Source organism: Homo sapiens, chromosome 7 (genome assembly GCF_000001405.40).
Source record: "Homo sapiens chromosome 7, GRCh38.p14 Primary Assembly".
Lineage (NCBI taxonomy): Eukaryota > Metazoa > Chordata > Mammalia > Primates > Hominidae > Homo > Homo sapiens.
In genome coordinates, this window is record NC_000007.14 from 94,017,049 (window position 1) to 94,036,133 (window position 19,085).

The 19,085-nt window shown below is 35.2% G+C and overlaps 1 long non-coding RNA gene across 1 annotated transcript in view; it reads left to right on the plus strand.

Annotated features, from left to right (window-relative positions):
* The first annotated feature begins 5,757 nt into the window (after window positions 1–5,757).
* Window positions 5,758–19,085, plus strand: part of LOC130890646 (uncharacterized) — a 44,949-nt gene continuing 31,621 nt past the window's right edge. The window contains exon 1 of the long non-coding RNA NR_186703.1: window positions 5,758–5,859. This is a non-coding gene — a long non-coding RNA (uncharacterized LOC130890646). The remainder of the gene's footprint in view (window positions 5,860–19,085) is intronic.

Consider the following 19,085-nt stretch of genomic DNA (forward strand, 5'->3'; position numbering starts at 1 on the left):
AGTTCACATGAATGTGAAGTCTTAAAGCATGTATCCACAACTGAGCTTTATGCTTCTTTACTCAAGGGTAACAATGAGTTGTAAAACCAGAGTATAGTTGGGTCATGCAAATTATACCTATTGGAATATACTTGAAACAGTTTCAGAAAAAAAAGAACATGAAAATCAACATAGTTTATAGTTTCTCAAAGCATGTAGTGGGAACCTAGAAATAAAGTAAATGTGCATCATTAATGAAAAAAGCTAAATAAATTATGTCATATTCATACTATTGAATATATAAAGCCATTAAATAAAATATATGTTTATATGAGTTCATTTGGAGGGATTTCTACAATGTATTTTAAGTAAGAAAAGAATGATACCTAAATTTAAAAATTGCCAGTCATCAGAATCAGGACAATTTGGCTGTCAATTTAAGTCATTAAACTTTGGGACAGCTATATGAAAATGGTAACTGATAACAAGTTTTTATTTAAAAAAACTATATTACTTATACAAGTGTTTCAGAAAGATTTCTGTGAATATATTAATATAACTTTCAGAAAATACATAGATGAGTTAAATAACTGTCACAAGCAAAAATAAAAAAAGTTGTAGGAATTTATTTAATGGTGAAAGGAGTCTCATCCCTTTTTCATACGATAATAAATCAGTTTGTATAAACCCATTATTGTAAAATACTACATATATAGAGAAAGTGCATATAACTCTGATATATGGCATAGCAAATTCTTATAAAGCAAACACCTGGGTAATAAAAACAGAATATTATCAACACCCTTTGTAGTGCTCTCATGTTAGAACTTTTACTTGCCTCTTTTAAATATAGCTTTATGATGGATTTTTCCTTCTTAAACATGATAGTTTTTTTTGTTAAACATGATAGTTTTGTTTGTATTCTGTGACTGATTTGTTTTGCTCAATGGTATGTTCTTAAAAGTTCAACATTGGTATATATAGCTATATTTCATTTCTTTATTTTTATTGCTGTATCACAGTTATTAATCTATTCTTTAATTATTAGACATCTGATTTGTTTCCAGTTTGGAATTGTTGCAAATAACTTGACTTTGAACGGTCTTGTCATTTTCACATGATACAGTTTCATGTATTTCCCTAGTGTATAAAATACAGGAGTGGAATTGTCGGGTCATTGTATAGTTGTATTCTAAATGTATAAGATGATGCCAAACTCTTTATGAAATGAACAAATAATGGTACGTATTTTAATTGATTTTGCACTCCTATTATTACTAATGAGATTGAACACATTTTCATGTTTTTGAGCCATTTGAATATCCTCTTTTATTAAATGCCTGTTTAAGTTTTCTGCCCCCTTTTTATTGTATCGGTCATTATTTATTTGTAGGAGGTCTCCATATATTCCCTTTCCAAGGCCTATGTTTGCCATATGTGTTGCAAATAACTCTTTCCATTCTTTGTATTACCTTATTTTACTACTAAGTAATGCCCTTTGACAAACAGAAATTCTATTATTTTATAGTTAGAATATTCTATATTCTGTTTGAGAAAACTTTTTCCACCTTGAGGTCATAAAGATATTCTCCTGTAATTCTAAATAATTAGTTTTTTTGTCCTTCACATTTATACCTATACTTTAAATGTAATTGGTTTTATGTAGGAGATGAAGTAGGAATCAAGTTGTATTTTTTTTCAGTATGGATACCCATTTTTTTCATTATCATTCTTACTGAAAATACTGTCCTTTCCCCCAATCCTGTGTAATGGTAATTTTCTCATAAACCAAGTACCACAATATATGTGGCCTTTTTATGAACTCTTTACCTATTCCATTGGTCTGTTCTTTTATACTTGCAGCATCAATGCACTATCTTAAATAGCTTTATAATATAACTTAACACTCAGTAAAGCAAGTCTCCCTACCATGTATTTCTTCTTAAAAAATATCTCAGAACTTCTTGCCCCTTTGTATTTCCATATAACTTTTAGAAACAGCTGTCAAGTTTCACTTCAAAAATTTAGTATTTTGACTGGGATTGTATTGCATTAAATCAGCAATAATATACTTAACAGCATAGAGTTTTCCAATTCTTAAACACTATATATCCATCCTAATTATGTTGAGATTGCTTACATACTGTTCTATAGTATTCTGTATAGAGATCTGGCAAAATTTTTACTACATGCATCCCTACGTATTGATATTTTTTATGCGATTGTAAATTATATCTTTCTTAAGTATTTCATTTTCCAACTGTTGATGCTATATAAAAATGAAATAAAAGATTACCCACTGATTAAAGTAAGTTGTCTATAAAAAGTAAACTATTTTACAAACCACGGCTCAACGAAATAAAAGAGGACACAAATGGAAGAACCTTCCATGCTCATGGATAGGAAGAATCAATATCATGAAAATGGCCATACAGCCTAAGGTAATTTATAGATTCAATGCCATCCCCATCAAGCTACCAATTACTTTCTTCACACAATTGGAAAAAACTACTTTAAAGTTCATATGGAACCAAAAAAGAGCCTGCATTGTCAAGACAATCCTAAGCCAAAAGAACAAAGCTGGAGGCATCATGCTACCTGACTTCAAACTATACTACAAGGCTACAGTAACCAAAACAGCATGGTACTGATACCAATACAGAGATATAGACCAATGGAACAGAACAGAGCCCTCAGAAATAATACCGCATATCTACAACCATGTGATCTTTGACAAACCTGACAAAAACAAGAAATGGGGAAAGGATTCCCTATTTAATAAATGGTGCTGGGAAAACTGGCTAGCCATATGTAGAGGGCTGAAACTGGTTCACTTCCTTGCACATTATACAAAAATTAATTCAAGATGGATTAAAGACTTAAACGTTAGACCTATAACCATAAAAATCCTAGAAGAAAACCTAGGCAATACCATTCAGGACATAGGCATGGGCAAGGACTTCATGACTAAAACACCAAAAGCAATGGCAACAAAAGCCAAAATTGACAAATGAGATCTAATTAAACTAAAGAGCTTCTTCACAGCAAAAGAAACTATCATCAGAGTGAACAGGCAACCTACAGAATGGGAGAAAATTTTTACAATCTACCCATCTGACAACGAGCTAATACCCAGAATCTACAAAGAACTTAAACAAGTTTACAAGAAAAAATCAAACAACCCCATCAAAAAGTGGGTGGAGGATATGAACAGACACTTCCCAAAAGAAGACATTATGCAGCCAACAGACACATGAAAAAATGCTCATCATCACTGGCCATCAGAGAAATGCAAATCAAAACCACAATGAGATACCATCTCACACCAGTTAGAATGGCGATCATTAAAAAGTCAGGAAACAACAGGTGCTGGAGAGAATGTGGAGAAATAGGAACACTTTTACACTGTTGGTGGGAGTGTAAACTAGTTCGACCATTGTGGAAGACAGTGTAGCGATTCCTCAAGGATCTAGAACTAGAAATTCCATTTGACCCAGCCATCCCATTACTGGGTATATACCCAAAGGATTATAAATCATGCTGCTGTAAAGACACATGCACACGTATGTTTATTGTGGCACTATCCACAATAGCAAGGACTTGGAACCAACCCAAATGTCCATCAATGATAGACTGGATTAAGAAAATGTGGTACGTATACACCATGGAATACTAAGCAGCCATAAAAAAGGATGAGTTCACGTCCTTTGTAGGGACATGGATGAAGCTGGAAACCATCATTCTGAGCAAACTATCACAAGGGTAGAAAACCAAACACCGCATGTTCTCACTCATAGTTGGGAACTGAACAATGAGAACACTTGGACACAGGGTGGGGAACATCACACACTGTGGCCTGTCATGGGGTTGGGGGAGGGGGAGGGATAGCATTAGGAGAAATACCTAATGTAAATGACGAGTTAATGGGTGCAGCACACCCACATGGCACATGTATACATATGAAACAAACCTGCACATTGTGCACATGTACCCTAGAAGTTAAAGTATAATAAAAAAAGAGAGAGAGAAAAAAAATAAAGTGAGATAAATTATTCTAAAAAAAAAGTAAACAGTTTTATTTCTTCATTTATAATCCCTAGGTCTTTTGTTTATTTTCCTTTTTTTCCTATATTTCACTGGCTAGGACCTCCACTATAATGTTGAACAATGGTAATCTCATTTACAAATTCAAGGTGAAAACTTTGACTATTAAAACATTAAGTATAACATTTTCTTTGTTTTTTTTTTTTAAAAACAATGTCAGATTAAAGAAGTTTATATTTCTAGCTTGCCAAGTGGTTGTTGAATTTTATCACATTCTGTTCTGAAGCAAATGAGATAATCAGCTTGTAAAATCTTCTTTTAATTTGCTGAATTACATTGATCTTCAAATGTTGAAACAACTCTGCATTCTCAGGTTAAACTTAACTTGTCAGAATCTAGTACAGTATTAGTTTTTATATATTGTTGAATTTGATTTGAAAAATTGTTAAAGATTTATATATTTTTATTAATGAGAGAAACTCATCTGTAATTTTCTTTTTCTGTAATAATGTCAGATGTTATAATCAAGGTTAGGTGGCCTAATTCCTTATGTATATGGAAGAATTTACTGGTGAAGCTGTCTGATCCTCATGATTTTTCACCTATTTTTAAAAATATTTGTTATGATTGTTTTAATGAGTAGGTTTAATATCTGAGTCACTTGTGAGCCTATTTATATTACCTTTTTTCATCTGTTTTCAGTCTTGGTTCTTAGCATCTCTGCTAACTCTTTATGGGATTGTAGAGTATTTGTAATGCCAATTCATAAAATTTGAAAAGTTTTTGATTAAAAGAAAAAAATCATAAAATCTCAGCTTTTGCAATCTCAGCACATAGTATGTTGCATTGTCTGTTTTGTCCAATTCTTTTAAAGTCCAACATGGGATTTTCTTGAAATATGCATGGCCTGAAGCATCAAATATTTAGGTAAACAGGCAAAAGTCTCAGTAAAAATTAAAATAGGAACACATTAGTAAAAAGACAGAGAATATCTATACATTTCAAAAGTAAAATACCCATAAAATTGAAATCTGTGCAGGTAAAATGAAATTATTTTGGAACTGATTTACCACAAATTTGTGAACTGGTGCTGTTACAAAAAGAATAGAGTAGAATTAGCAAACTGTGCTTAAACTTTTAAAATTGAAATATGGCAGAAATACAGAATTAAAATTGCATTTATGTTCTCTGATGAGCCCAACTGTTCTTTTAGGAACAGCTTATAAAATATTTCAAATAACTACAAAATAAGAAAGCCCTTTCAGAAATATCCTTAAACAAAAAGGATAGAACAAAAATAATTACTTTCTCTCCAAATACCTCATGAGATCTATTCTACTTTTATATAAATTTTTTATGTTTATATAATACCTTGTTATTTTAATCTGTATTTGACAGGCATGGATACTTTCATTTCTGTGAGTGTATTGGGAGCAAGGGGGTGTGACAGGATTCCATGTTAGACCAGGGACTTGTTTTGATGCCACTAAGGAGACTAAATTTTAAATTGGACCCTTACTTTCTACACACTCCCCACAATCCTGATATGGTTCAGCTGTGTCCCCACCCAAGTCTCATCTTGAATCGTAGTTCCAATAATCCCCATGTGTGGTGGGAGGGAACAGGTGGAGATAAGTGAATCATGAGGGTGGTTTCCCCATCCTGTTCTCGTGATAGTGAGTAAGCTCTCATGAGATCTGATGGTTTTATAAGGGGCTTTCCCCTTCTCTGGGGACTCATTCTTTGCTCTCCTGCTACCACGTGAAGAAGGATGTATTTGCTTCCCCTTCTGCCATGTTTGTAAGTTTCCTGAGGCCTCCCCAGCCCTTCAGAACTGTGAGTCAATTAAACCTCTTTCCTATATAAATTACCCAGTCTCCGGTATGTCTTTATTAGCAGCACGAGAATGAACTAATACACTTCCCCACCACAATAGTAGAAAGGGCTTATGTCTACAGACAAGCTTATTCTCTTTATTTGTTGGAAACATGACAAGTTCTGGCTTCTATGACTCTTTTTCTATATACATATTTTTCATAGAAAATCAAAATGAAAAGTATTTTCAGATTAGCAAAAATAATTTTTAAAGTTAGAAATGTGATTTCAAAACAAGAAAGTTGGTACACCCCACAGAGGCTGCTTAACTCATGGAAGATTAAGCAAATCATATTCTGTGGGGGGAAAAAAACGAAAAAAAAAAAAAAGCCAACCTGACAATTCCAAGGCAGTTCACCAGCATTATTTCAAAGGAAAAGCAAAGTTAAAAAAATAAAGTAAAATCAAGATAAAGGGAGGAGAGAGGGAAAATATTGAATCATTCTTGTTTCCCTGTAAATAGTTTATCACTCTATTTATAAACAGACACAGAGAGCTTTTAGTGGAATTGCCAGATATTAATTTTTTCAAGAGATTTAATATTATTCTGGGAGGGAGTTATATCCAGTTGTATGGTTCTATTTTTTATTTGCCCCTACTCCTAGAGCATAGCCCCTTCAGGTTCTCAACAGGAAGCATGGGACATTCTTCTTTGGTTGGCCATGAACTTAAAATTCTGTTTTCCTGGTAACATCTAATTACAGTGTTCTCTGCTTAAAGGGTCAACCTTTTAGAAGCTGCTTTCTGCTTGCTTTGTCAGACTTTCTTACCACACTTAAACTAGCTAGGAGTTAACAAATATATTGAGGGCAGATTACAAACAGAAAATCAGGCTCACTTCTCTGCAGTCCTCTTTTTTTCTGGGATCTTGGTCCTTCAAGTCCTGAATGGTTGTTTTGGGAACTCTGAACTCCAATTTCTGTCTCCCCAGTCCAAAGAGAAAAGTGCTGCAAGTTCTAGGCTGCTGCTTCATGCCCCCATTCAGTGAATCAGGAAATATTTTGAGAGGAGAAATAATGATTGATTTAACTTCATAAAGCGTAATAGCGTATGCTTGCCAAAAACATCAGAAACAAGTTATGTCAGAAATAGTGTCTCTACCTTAAATTTTGTTCATCCTTTCTATAGTATACAGTTGTAGATGGAAGTAACAGCTCAGCTGAGGACTAAATTTCCTTATCCCATTTGCCATGAGATGTGGCCATATGACTTGTTTTTGCCAATGAAATATGAATGAAAGTAATTCATGCCACCTTCTAGGTCATGGCTTATAAAAGGCTAGTATGTCTCTTCCATACTCCCTTCCTGCCCCTACCTGGGTGTGGACAATGATAAGGCCTGAGGGGAGAGTGAAGCCACAAGATCAAAGGCATCTGGGCCCTAAAACCTCTTCATCAAATCACGCTATTATAAATGTCGTGCTCTTGTTGTTATAATAATGTACTAATACATAAGGCTTAAAAATTACAAATTGAAAATATATATTGTCAGAATATATAAATTATAATCTGAAATAAGGGTTTCAAAATCAATTGATAAAAGAGGAATATTTTAATAATTATTAGGATAAAGACAATTCTCAAAAGAACGTATTATTAAGATAAGGATGATGTTGGAAAAGAATGGTGTTCAAAATAACTACTGATGTTCAAAGTAGCTACTGATTTATTATTACATATTAACAATGGTGTATGATATATAGCCTATGAGATTAGTAATAAAAAATTTTAATGGACATGTCCAGGGTTGATTGATGAGAGAAATGAACTGCTAATGGAACTCTAAGTCAATAAAACCTGTATGACAGTTTGGCAATATGTATCAGAATTTTAAGTAATTATATACTTTGAGGCAGAGTATACTTTTCCCAAGAAGAGAATGAGTCCAAAAGGATGTAAACATCAGAATATTTATTTCATAATTTTTAAAGAACCCAAAACAAAAACATCAATGAGAATAACCAGTGTACAAATTGTGTCAGTATCATAAAATTATGTTTATAACATTTTAAGTATTCTTTTCATGAATATGTATTCATATGTAAATATATATATTTAACTTATAAATACATGCAGTGTGTGTGTGTGTGTAGAAAGAGAGAGAGAGAGAGAGACACGCACACACACACACAGAAGAATCAAGACAGATACTTGCCAAATGGAAACAGTAATGATCAGTGATGATGGTATTCCTGCTTTCATGCTTATACCTCTTTGAACCAATTGATGTTTTTAAGAATTTTAAAACAGGCCTGTATTAGCATTTTTATGGGGGAAAGGGGGAAAATAAAAATGGTCGTTTCTTCAAAATACACAGATAAAATTTGGTTGGAAAAATAGTTAGCAAGAGCAACTAATTCTCTAAAAGGATGGGGTACCCAAGACTCAACGTTTTATCTTACCCACTTTCATTTGCTCATTCATTCAGTCATCAAAAATTGCATTTTGGGGACTCTCTATGTGCCAGGCACAATATCCTTAGGAATCCTATTATCTACCTAAACTTGAGACTCACTGAGGAGTATTCTGGCTTTCGCATGCCCAGAGGATATTCTTGAACAATTAGCGGATGCTTCAAAAAGTGTAATAATGTGGCAAGGAATCTAAATGTGTGCTCCTCAATCCACTTCCATCAGTAATGCAGTGAGTAGAGGTACTATCCAGAACTTTTGCCTGTGGTTTTCTCTTCTCTTTAGCATCCACTACTACTGATAGTTTCATCAAGTCATTTTAGTCTCTATAGCTATTTTAAAATGTGAAATAAGGACTTAATGCATATTTCATCTTCTAGTCATTTTAACTTTAAAGATTTTGAATTCACTTTCATGGCTGTACTGAAAATTAATTTGTTCAAATCAGTCCCCATTGGAAGAGTTGAGAGAGAAAATGGAGATGGTTTCCCTACGGTGGTCATTTTTATTGCTTTTTAGAGGCAGATAATTCTTTGATTAAAGCAATGGTCCCCTTTTCCCAAAAAAAAAAAAAAATGAGTATGGAAAATGGACCTACCTGGAAACCTTTGCAAGTAACATCAGGAGTTCCAGGCTACTTACTTAAGAACACCTTCTCTAGCACAGAGAATTGTGTTTAGACTCAGGGCAGCACTCCCTCATAGACACTTTCCAAGGGCAAAATAGACTAATTATCTTATGTACTAATGATGCTCATGGGTGTCTCTCAGGACATTTAGATGCCAGAAAGAAAGTTATTTCCATGTAACATTTGCTGATAATGATAAATTATCCTTTAAGAATTATCACATCAAATAGATAAAACTAGTTTGCCTGGGTAGGAAACATAATGTGGAAGCCTTTATGTCTCCTACTAAAAACTTTCCATCTATTATTGTATCCTTCAGGAGCAGTGACCTTCCTTCTATTGACAGTTCTGGCAGAAATCTAGGAAACTTGAATATAACTTTAAGCATCCCCAGAAGAACATGAATTGTTATTACAAAGCAAAATGGTCACTTTAAAATTGAAGGTTGAATATATATGCACATTACTTAGATGAAAAGTTTGGAGTATATTTGCTTTAATGATTCCAGAATTTTTTATTTTATTTTAAGTTCTGGGATACATGTGCTGAACGTGCAGGTTTGTCACATGGGTATAGATGTGCCATAGTGGTTTGCTGTACCTATCAACCCGTCATTTAGGTTTTGGGCCCACATGCATTAGATATTTGTCCTAAAGCTCTCCCTCCCCTTTCCCCTCACCTCCTCCCCCTCTACAGGCCCTTGTGTGTGATGTTCCCCTCCCTGTGTTCATGTGTTCTCCTTTTCAATTCCCACTTATGAATGAGAACATGCAGTGTTTGGTTTTCTGTTTCTGTGTTAGTTTGCTGAGAATGATGGTTTCCAGCTTCATCCATGTCCCTAAAAAGGACATGAACTCATTCCTTTTTATGGCTGCATAGTATTCCATGGTGTATATGTGCCACATTTCCTGTATCCAGTCTATCATTGATGGGTTCCAAGTCTTTGCTATTGTAAATTGTGCTGGAATAAACATACGTGTGCGTGTGTCTTTATATAGAATGATTTATAATCCTTTTGGTATATACCCAGTAATGGGATTGCTGGGTCAAATGGTATTTCTGGTTCTACATCCTTAAGGAATCGCCACACTGTCTTCCACAATGGTTGAGCTAATTTACACTCCCACCAACAGTGTAAAAGCGTCCCTATTTCTTCTCATCCTCACCAGCATTTGTTGTTTCCAGACATTTTAATGATCTCCATTCTAACTGGTGTGAGGTGGTATCTCATTGTGGTTTTGATTTGCATTTCTCTAATGACCAGTGATGATGAGTTTTTTTTCATATGTTTGTTGGCTTCATAAATGTCTTCTTTTGGGAAGTGTCTGTTCATATCCTTTGCCCACTTTTTGATGGTTTTTTTTTGTCTTGTAAAATTGTTTAAGTTCCTTGTAGATTCTGGATATTAGACCATTGTCAGATGGATAGATTGCAAAAACTTTGGTGGCTTTTTTTTCCATTCATCTCTTCTGCCAAAATTATGACCTCATTTAATTTGTTTGTACATTTATTTCTTCTGGAGACCCCATCTCCAAATCACCATCCTTATCTTTTTTCTCAAACCTCAGGGAATACTGGCCTCTGTACATATTTTTAATTGCCTTGGTCTTGTCATTCCCTGGGTCTCTATGTATGTTGTTCATGGAACAACACATGCTTGGAATATTCTTTCCCTTCTTTATACTCTGTTAAATTCATAACCTCTGTAGTAGGCAGAATACTCCAATGATGTTCACATCTTAGTCTCCAGAGCCTGTGGATGTGTACATGGTAAAAGATAATTACGGTTGCAGATAGTATTACAGTTGCCAATCAACTCACCTTAAAATAGGGAAAGTAGCCTGGATTATACAGCTGGGCCCAATTTAATCAGAAGCGTCCTTACAAATAGAAGAGGGAGGTAGAAGAGGAGAGTCACAGGATGGTGTGACTATGGGAACAAGGCACAGAGAGAGATTATGTTGCTGGTGTTGAAGACAGAGGAAGAGGACCATGAGCCAAGGAATGAGGGCAGGTCCTGGAAGCTGGAAAAGACAGGGAAACAGATTCTCACCTAGAACCTCCAGGAAGGAATGCAGTCCTGCTGACACCTTGATTTTAGTACAGGCATGTCAATGTCAGAATTCAATGCGGTGATCTTGATGTCAGAATTTGATGCTATGGAATTGTAAACGAAAACATTTGTGTTCTCAAGACCACTAAGTTTGTGATCTTCACACAGCCACAATAGAAAACTATTACATCATCCTTCAGATTGCAAGTTAAAAATCACTTATTAATTTCTCCAGATATCCATGTTTGGAGACCTTTAAGCACAGTACTTACTTTAAAAAACTTTAAAGTATGTAAAATAGCCATAACTAAAATTTAACTTAGGTGTTTATGGCTATTTTCCCCTGCTAGTCTGTAAACTCCAAGAGTATAGTTCTTGTCTGTCTGTGCTTTCCACAGTGTCAATAAATGTTTATTCAGGGATTGGCTCTCCCCTTTCTCTTCCTTACATACATATGCTTCCAAAGGAAATCAGAGAAAATCGCCCAAACAAAATCCTCATAGGGCAAAGATCATCAGATTCCATATAGTAACCCATTTAATTCCCATAGTGCTTAGCTTTCCTAGGTCATTAATTCTCAGAGAGTAACCCCCTGACCAACAGCATTAGTATCACCTGGGAGCTACTAAATTAGGGGTGGATCCTAGGATTTGTATTTTAATAAGCTGTCTCCGTGATCTGATGATGCACACTGAAGTTCGAGAATTACTGCTTTAGTCCGGATTGTTGGGCCCCACGCACAGCATTTCTGACTTAGTATGTGTGGAGTAGGGCCTAAGAATTTGCATTTCTAAAAATTCTAAGTGATTCTGATGCTGCTGTTCCTGGGACTTTACTTGAAGAATAACTGACCTAAACAATGTTAGGCCAGGGGACTTCTAGTGGAATTTTGTCAACAAAACCTCACAGCTTATGAGTTTTTTATGACTTAGCACTTTGTGGTTTATGTGTCATCCTAAACCAGAAGTCTATATTTATTTTTACAGCAAGATTATTATGGCCCTTTATGAAATTCAGCTTACATCTATATTATAGCAAATGGCAGTTAGGTTGAGCAATCCAATTAATATATCTAAGACTATCTAGTTTTTAATCATACATATTCAAGATTGCATGATTTTCTGAAACAACAGTCTTTGCAAAAATGGATTAAAAGTGATTGTAAACCAGTTTGCTTTGCTTTACAACCTACTGTATGATTCTTTTCCTAAAAAATGAATGTAAAATTCCCCAATGTTATTATATTTCTGACAAAGTGACAACAATTGCTTATAAAATATTTAATAGCATGCTTTAAAAACTAGGAAATATAACATGCAGAACATAAATTACATTTTAAATAATGATTTGGTTTAATGCAAGATTGACGATGTATGCAGTTTATAAATCGTTTTGAAATCAGCTTTCACTCAAATGTTTCTGTAACTAAGAATGATTATGGCACCACTCTTGTGCAGGGAGGGTTCTCATGGAAAGTTAAGTTATTGTCTTAAATCAATATGCCCGATGCTTGTGATGCTGATAAGGCAACATATTTCAACACACACAGTGACAAATGGTGGCCTCTTAAGCTGATTTTAAGGTGCAAATAGAATCTGCTTTTTATCCATTTGCCTTCTGTAGAGAACAAATCCTTACATTTCACAGTTGAGAGATACAACACTTGAAGTATCAATGACCTGGGACAGGTATCACATTGCTTTCCATTCTCTTATAATAGATTCCATTATTAAAAGAAGATAAGGATGAGAGCCAAAGAGGGGAACACACCTCCAGGGGAAGCTGAAAGCCAGAAGACAGAAAGCAGATGGAGGGAGAATAAAAACATAACGAGGCATGAAAATGCTGGGGAGTGAGAGGACTTAGTTGACAAATTTGAGCATTTTGAAACAACTAGCAGTTGGTTTATGGTGACTGTAATGAGGTAATTAAGAAGGAAAATTAAGAATAGGTTTATTTAAAACCATGTAAGTTAAAATGGGGCGATTATTAACGTGAGAAAATATAAACATAATAAAACATCTGTCTCTAATGAACAATATATTTACCAAGTTACATTAATGTATAATGTGATTTTCTATAACTGAAATGATGATATAATTAGACTGGGTAGGAAGAGACAGGGAAATGGTCATGTGCAATGAGGCTGCATCTACCATAACAGGAAGTACACAGTTAGTATCCAAAAATTACAAATTTAGAAATAGCAGCATAAACCATTTATTTAGAAATATGAGAATAAGTACAATGACATAACCAAGAACAACTACACAGCTAAACGTATTAAAAGTGATTTCTTTCCAAAGCAGAAATAGTGTGGGAATGGGGCAGAGTTGAGGTGCTTTTTATAATAACCCCTTTTAAATATGTTCATGTATTACTGATAAAATGAAACAGGTAACACCTAAAAAGAAAGACTATGGTGATTTTTTTGACAACTTAAAAAGTGGTTTACAAATTTATTCCATTTTCATTTTGAGGAAACATTTCATCTGTAATTTAAAATATATATATCATCAGCAAGAAGACTCAATCAGATATCTTTAACATTTGGGTGTTGAGTTCTAGATCTGCCTCACAGAATTGCATGAGCTTGGGCAAGTCATCTCATCTTCTGTGAACTTTAGTTTCCCCGTCTATAAGAGTTACTGTGAGAACTTAATGAGATTATATCTTAAACCACTTGGGAGGTGCTTGACACATTATTTCTTACACGACTTCTCAGCAACATTAGCCCCAACTTTATTCTTTTCTTCATGTTCATAGTGTCTGTTTTATCACAATCTTTGGCACTGGTTTCTATCACTATGACCACATCTTCTCAGTCTCTTTTGATGGTTTCTCCTCCTAGAAGCACTTTCCTAGAGACTCATCATTCTACAGCTTCACACCAGATGACTACAATTATTTTCCTGGCGTGAAGAGCCACAAGCAAGCAACTCCACATTCATATTTCCAGCACAGATCATGCCTGTGACTTCCAGACCTGTATGTCTAACTGCCTTTTTGAAATATTTTTTTGGATTATTCAGGTGTGCTTCAAACTCAACCTATCTAAACCCAAACTCATGATCTATTTCCCCCAAATTTTTTCTTCCACTGTTTCTTGATTTCATGAATAGCACCTTCATCCTTCCAGTTGCACACCCAGAAATCTAAGAGTTCCTTGACATCTCCTGCGTTGACAGTTAAATCCTGCTCACATCCAAAATGCAATCCAGCAACATAGACTGTGGATTTTACATATTAAATATCTCTCAAATTGCCCTTTCCTCTCTTCCTCCACCACCACTACAAACATAGTCTAATTCATGCCGTAATCATTTCACACCTACGCCATAAAAGCTTTTCAACTATTTTTCCCCTATCCATTCTCACATCCTATAATCAATTTTCCATAGAGAATCCTGAACTGTTGGCCTTTTATCACTGTCCCTTCCTCTGGCATATCACAGATTTTCAATGCATTTTTTAAAATAAATGCCTACTTGCCTGAGGTCTATTTAAGTAGTTTTGAATGTCAAATAAACTAATGTAAGCACTGTAAATGAAATACTGTAAATGAAATATTGTGAAGCAGGGTTTACGATGTTTGGGAATATTGACTTTGATACCTTAGAAGTAAATTCCATTAAGTGTAAAAAGCTCTACCACCTTTTAAGGGAAAATAAATTAGATTCAAATAGGTAGAAAAGCAGGGAGAAAGATGAGATGTTTGAATAGAAGAAGGTCAACTTTTTGATCCTTGCTATTTGTATCAGTGTGTTTGTTTTTTGCTTTTTGTGGCATCTGTGTTTTCCTCTATTTATTTGGATTTCTGGGATAGCTAGTGATTTAAGACATTTGATGTCAAGGTAAAAAATTATCCTCTGTGATGAAAGAGAGAACATGTTTATTAGTTTCACTCTGGAGGAGATTACAATTCAACCACACGTTAATGAGTTAGCAAAATGGTCAGAATACATAGTGTAAGGACCAATTCGAAAGCATAAGAAAAGAGAAAGAGAAGCCACATATGAGAGAGGTCAGGGGGTGAGAACTGGCCATGTGAGACAAGGGCAAGGAAGAATCTCAGAGCCTGGTTGTACAAGGTGACTGCAAACCACTGCACCATATGGGGGAGAGTCTGGGGGACCCACTTGAAAGCAGAGTTGCAGGGACTGTGAAACAATTATTTTGTTATGCTTTACACTGAGCAGACCTGGAATATTCTACTTTTCAAGGAAAGCAGGATATGGGAAATGTGTGTGGAAGTTTGAAGGAAAGCCGCAAACATGAGTAAATGCTAAGAACATTAAATCTGTGTGGACTATTTTCACACAAAAATCCTGAGAAAGTGTAGAAAAAGGAAGACCAAGTCTCTTGTAACTAAACCTCCCTTTTGGTGGAAATGTAGAATTTCGGTTAGATTTCACAAGGAATGTCTAAAATCATCTAAAATCCCTAAAGAAGCATTGCTTCCAAGTCATAGTCTGGCAGATTGTATGTGTTGGTTCAGGCCTGTGGCTTTGCTGAGGGATTTCATGGAAGGATTGAACACTGCAACCCCTCGTTGTGAATGAAGAGCTTCTATTGCAGGTATAAGGCAGTTGTTCAGCATGGCACCTGTATATGAAGGATCAGGAAGTTGATAATACAAAATGTGAGATTATCATTGTTCATTTTGCTGGTACCATTTGAAAGGCATGGCTAAGAAACTTAGTGTTTTGGTTAGTCATTCTGTGGATCCAGAGAACCCAAGAAAATATATTAGTTACAGAAAAAAGTTTTGGCCAGAATCTGACTTTTCATGATATCTCTCTTCATGTTAGTATATTATATTGACTAGGATTGGCTAGAGGGTGGAAAAGCTGAGACTTCCTTTGTGGGGCTACACAGGGAGCTTCTGAGCAGAGACATGGGATAACATGAAAAAGATGAAAGATGGCATGATGTATAATGCGTGGTTGGTCATTTCATGAGGTGAGGCTCCTCATTTTTTTTTAATTTTTAATCTCTAACTCAATAGTACTTTTCAGTTTTTTACACTATGGCAGAAGAAAATATGACTTCTTATTCAGATTTTGCAGCTATTCCTCTGTCTTCTCAGTTTTCTTATTCTATTACATTTCTGGTAAGTACAATCCAACCCATCCCCCATCTGCAGGATATTGTGATCTGTGATGTTACAGTAGGAATTTGAGAAAGCTATGCTATAATGGAAGGCCACGCTGTCACGTAGGATATGTGGGGCAGAGAGCAAGAAGTATCACCCATCCCTGGGACCCAGATACTATTCTATGCTTTTTGGACCCCCCGTTTTCTTTCTTAGTTAGTAAAAGAAATGTCGTGACAGCTTTTCTTACTAAACACATACTCATGTAGTATCTGTGAAATTAAAAGTTGACTAAGGTGTTAATTCATAGAGGTCTTCACAGTGCCCTAGATTTTGTTTGTTCCAGCTCATATTTCACATTTTGTCTTTCATTATACTTTGCAGATGTTCTGTGTTATTCTTTTAGACATCTGGTAAGGAAGAGACTTACTGGATTTCTAGTTAGTATTTTGCGACCTAGAACTGCTACTTGAGAAGGAATGATCCTATATCATTCCTCTTGTAGCTTAAATGTAGTTTTCATTGACTTACAGCTTTTAAAAGTCTGCAGTGCAAGCTGTGTTCGTTACAGACTTAACCTTTCTACCATCTTGTTGCCTGACTCTCCGATAGGTCATTTGGCTATAGTATTTCCAACCTACGGTTCTCCAGGACTGGTTCAACTGGAAGGCCAATTATTCTAATCCTTTTTCATGGCTCTGTGTGATGCTCCCCAAAGCTGTCCATTTGGCCAACAAGGAAAATCTACCTATACAACAGACACCCTTTAGTATGTAAGTAGAACCATCAATACATTATTTAACGTAGACACACAGTCTGTATTAGTCAGGGTTCTCTTGGTTACAATTCAAATAAATTTAAGCAAAAAAGTAATTTATTGGTTCACTTAACTGGGAAGCCCAGAAATGATGCCTTCAGGCATGACTGAATCTGCATTCATATTCTCTCTTTAACAGTATCTCTTACTCCCCATGTTGTTTGTCTGTCTCTTTTCTCTGCATGATGGTCTCTTAACTTCTTGCTGCTGGCAGCTCTTTCCATGTGGCCAGAGAAGATGGCCACTTGTAACCCCAACTATACAACGTCTCACCTTGACAACAAGCAGAAAGAAAACAGCACTCTTCTCTGTAGCTCTGTATCAATCTGAGACAAGACTCTTATTGACATTACATGCAGCACGTGCTTATGTTTGCTGTACTCAGTATATTCGGGGGAATGGAGTACTGTGATTGACTAGGCCTAGGCCATCTGCTCAGCCCAGTTACAGAGATAAAGAAGCAAAACTGATACCCCATCAAAAGCATATAGAATGGAGGAAGTATTTTCTTTAAAAAATTCAGAGTATAGGAGAAGGGAAATGTGCTACATAATAGAAATTACGATTGCTACAGTTTGGCACATAAGTTGTTTCCTGTTAGTAACTCTTCTGAGGTTGAATACTGCTATGGTCTAAATGTTTTTGTCCTCCCAAAATTAATATGTTGAAACGTAATCCCCAAAGTGATGTGTTAGAGTGCAGGGCCTTTGAGAGGTGATTAAGTCATGAGAGAAGAACCCTCATGAACAATATTAGCACCATTATGAAAGAGACTGCAGAGAGCTAGCTAGCTCCTTTCATTATGGGTTATAATGGTTATAATGGAAAGGTGTTCATCTATGAAGAAGCAGGTCCTCTCTAGACACTGAATCAGCTGGTGCCTTGATCTTGGACTTCCCAGCCTCCAGAGCTGTGAGAAATAAATTTCTGTTATTTATAAGCTACTCAGCCTAAGGTATTTTGTAATAGCAGCCCAAATGAACCAAGACAAATGCTAAAATCTCATAAGCTATCTGACAACCATTATCCTATTGTAGTTTGATTGGGGATATTTGGATGGCAGAGAAAAGAAAGTGTATCTGGACTATAAAATCAAAGTTGATGACTTATTGTTTAGCTTCAGTTTTCTGTCACGGGATTTTTTTTCTGACCTTCAGATTTCAAAAGTTACTACGCTGTTATACTGTTACCTGCTGTAAGATGATTATTAAATATCAAAGTGAGAGATTTTTGTTTTGTAAATTCATGCCTTCCAAATGTAATTTTAGATATTATACCAGGCAAAAGAATACACTCCACCAAATAACATAAAATCTTTAAAAATTTTCATACATTTTATATGTTATGGTCTGATTAAAATTCATATTTCCTTTCATAAGAACTCAAGATAAACCCAGAGGAGAAAAATTCGTGCATTAATATTCCATGAATACTGGGGATCAGTAAATCTAGCAATTTTCTTTCAACTACACGCGAGGATTGGAATAATATCATGTAGAAAAGACAATTCTGGTTTATACTTATAACTCATGAAAATACATACATTCCAAGCTTGGCAAAGTACATTTTCCAATTTCTCAAAAACATGTTTAGAAATGAATTCAAAAGGGCATCAGTGGAAAAATAGAGGAAATACTCTTACCTTGTGAAAAACAGGAGATAAATGACAATTCTAAAATGTCATAGTGCCATATTACCAAAATCTCTTTCATGCCTTTTATTCACATGCCCCAATGAGTGCATCTATATAAAGTTTCTTGGAAGCTGGAGATCTGAGGATCAGATGTAATGTCATTCTAAAATAATCCAGGAGCTGGCTGAGTCTGCTTAAATTTTGTTTTATTTTAGTTTGTTTTTTCAGAGAGGATGCTTAATTTTTTTGTATTGCCTCCCTTTTAGGAGATAAAAACCAAGCATGCTTTTTGGAGCCACAGTAAGAAAATTAACCATATATCAGAAACATTAGGGTCTTAGATTTTCTGTTCCAATTCTTAGAACATGGCTGTGCAATGTAATAATTGTGATTTTAGTTCCTCACACTAATTACAATTTTTAGGTGTACATTACATTGCAGTTCTAATTAATTGATAGAATACTGGGTAGAACAGTTTTTAACCATACTAACTTTGGTCATCACAGGAAGGGGAACATCACACAGCAGGGCCTGTTGTGGGGTGGGGCCCG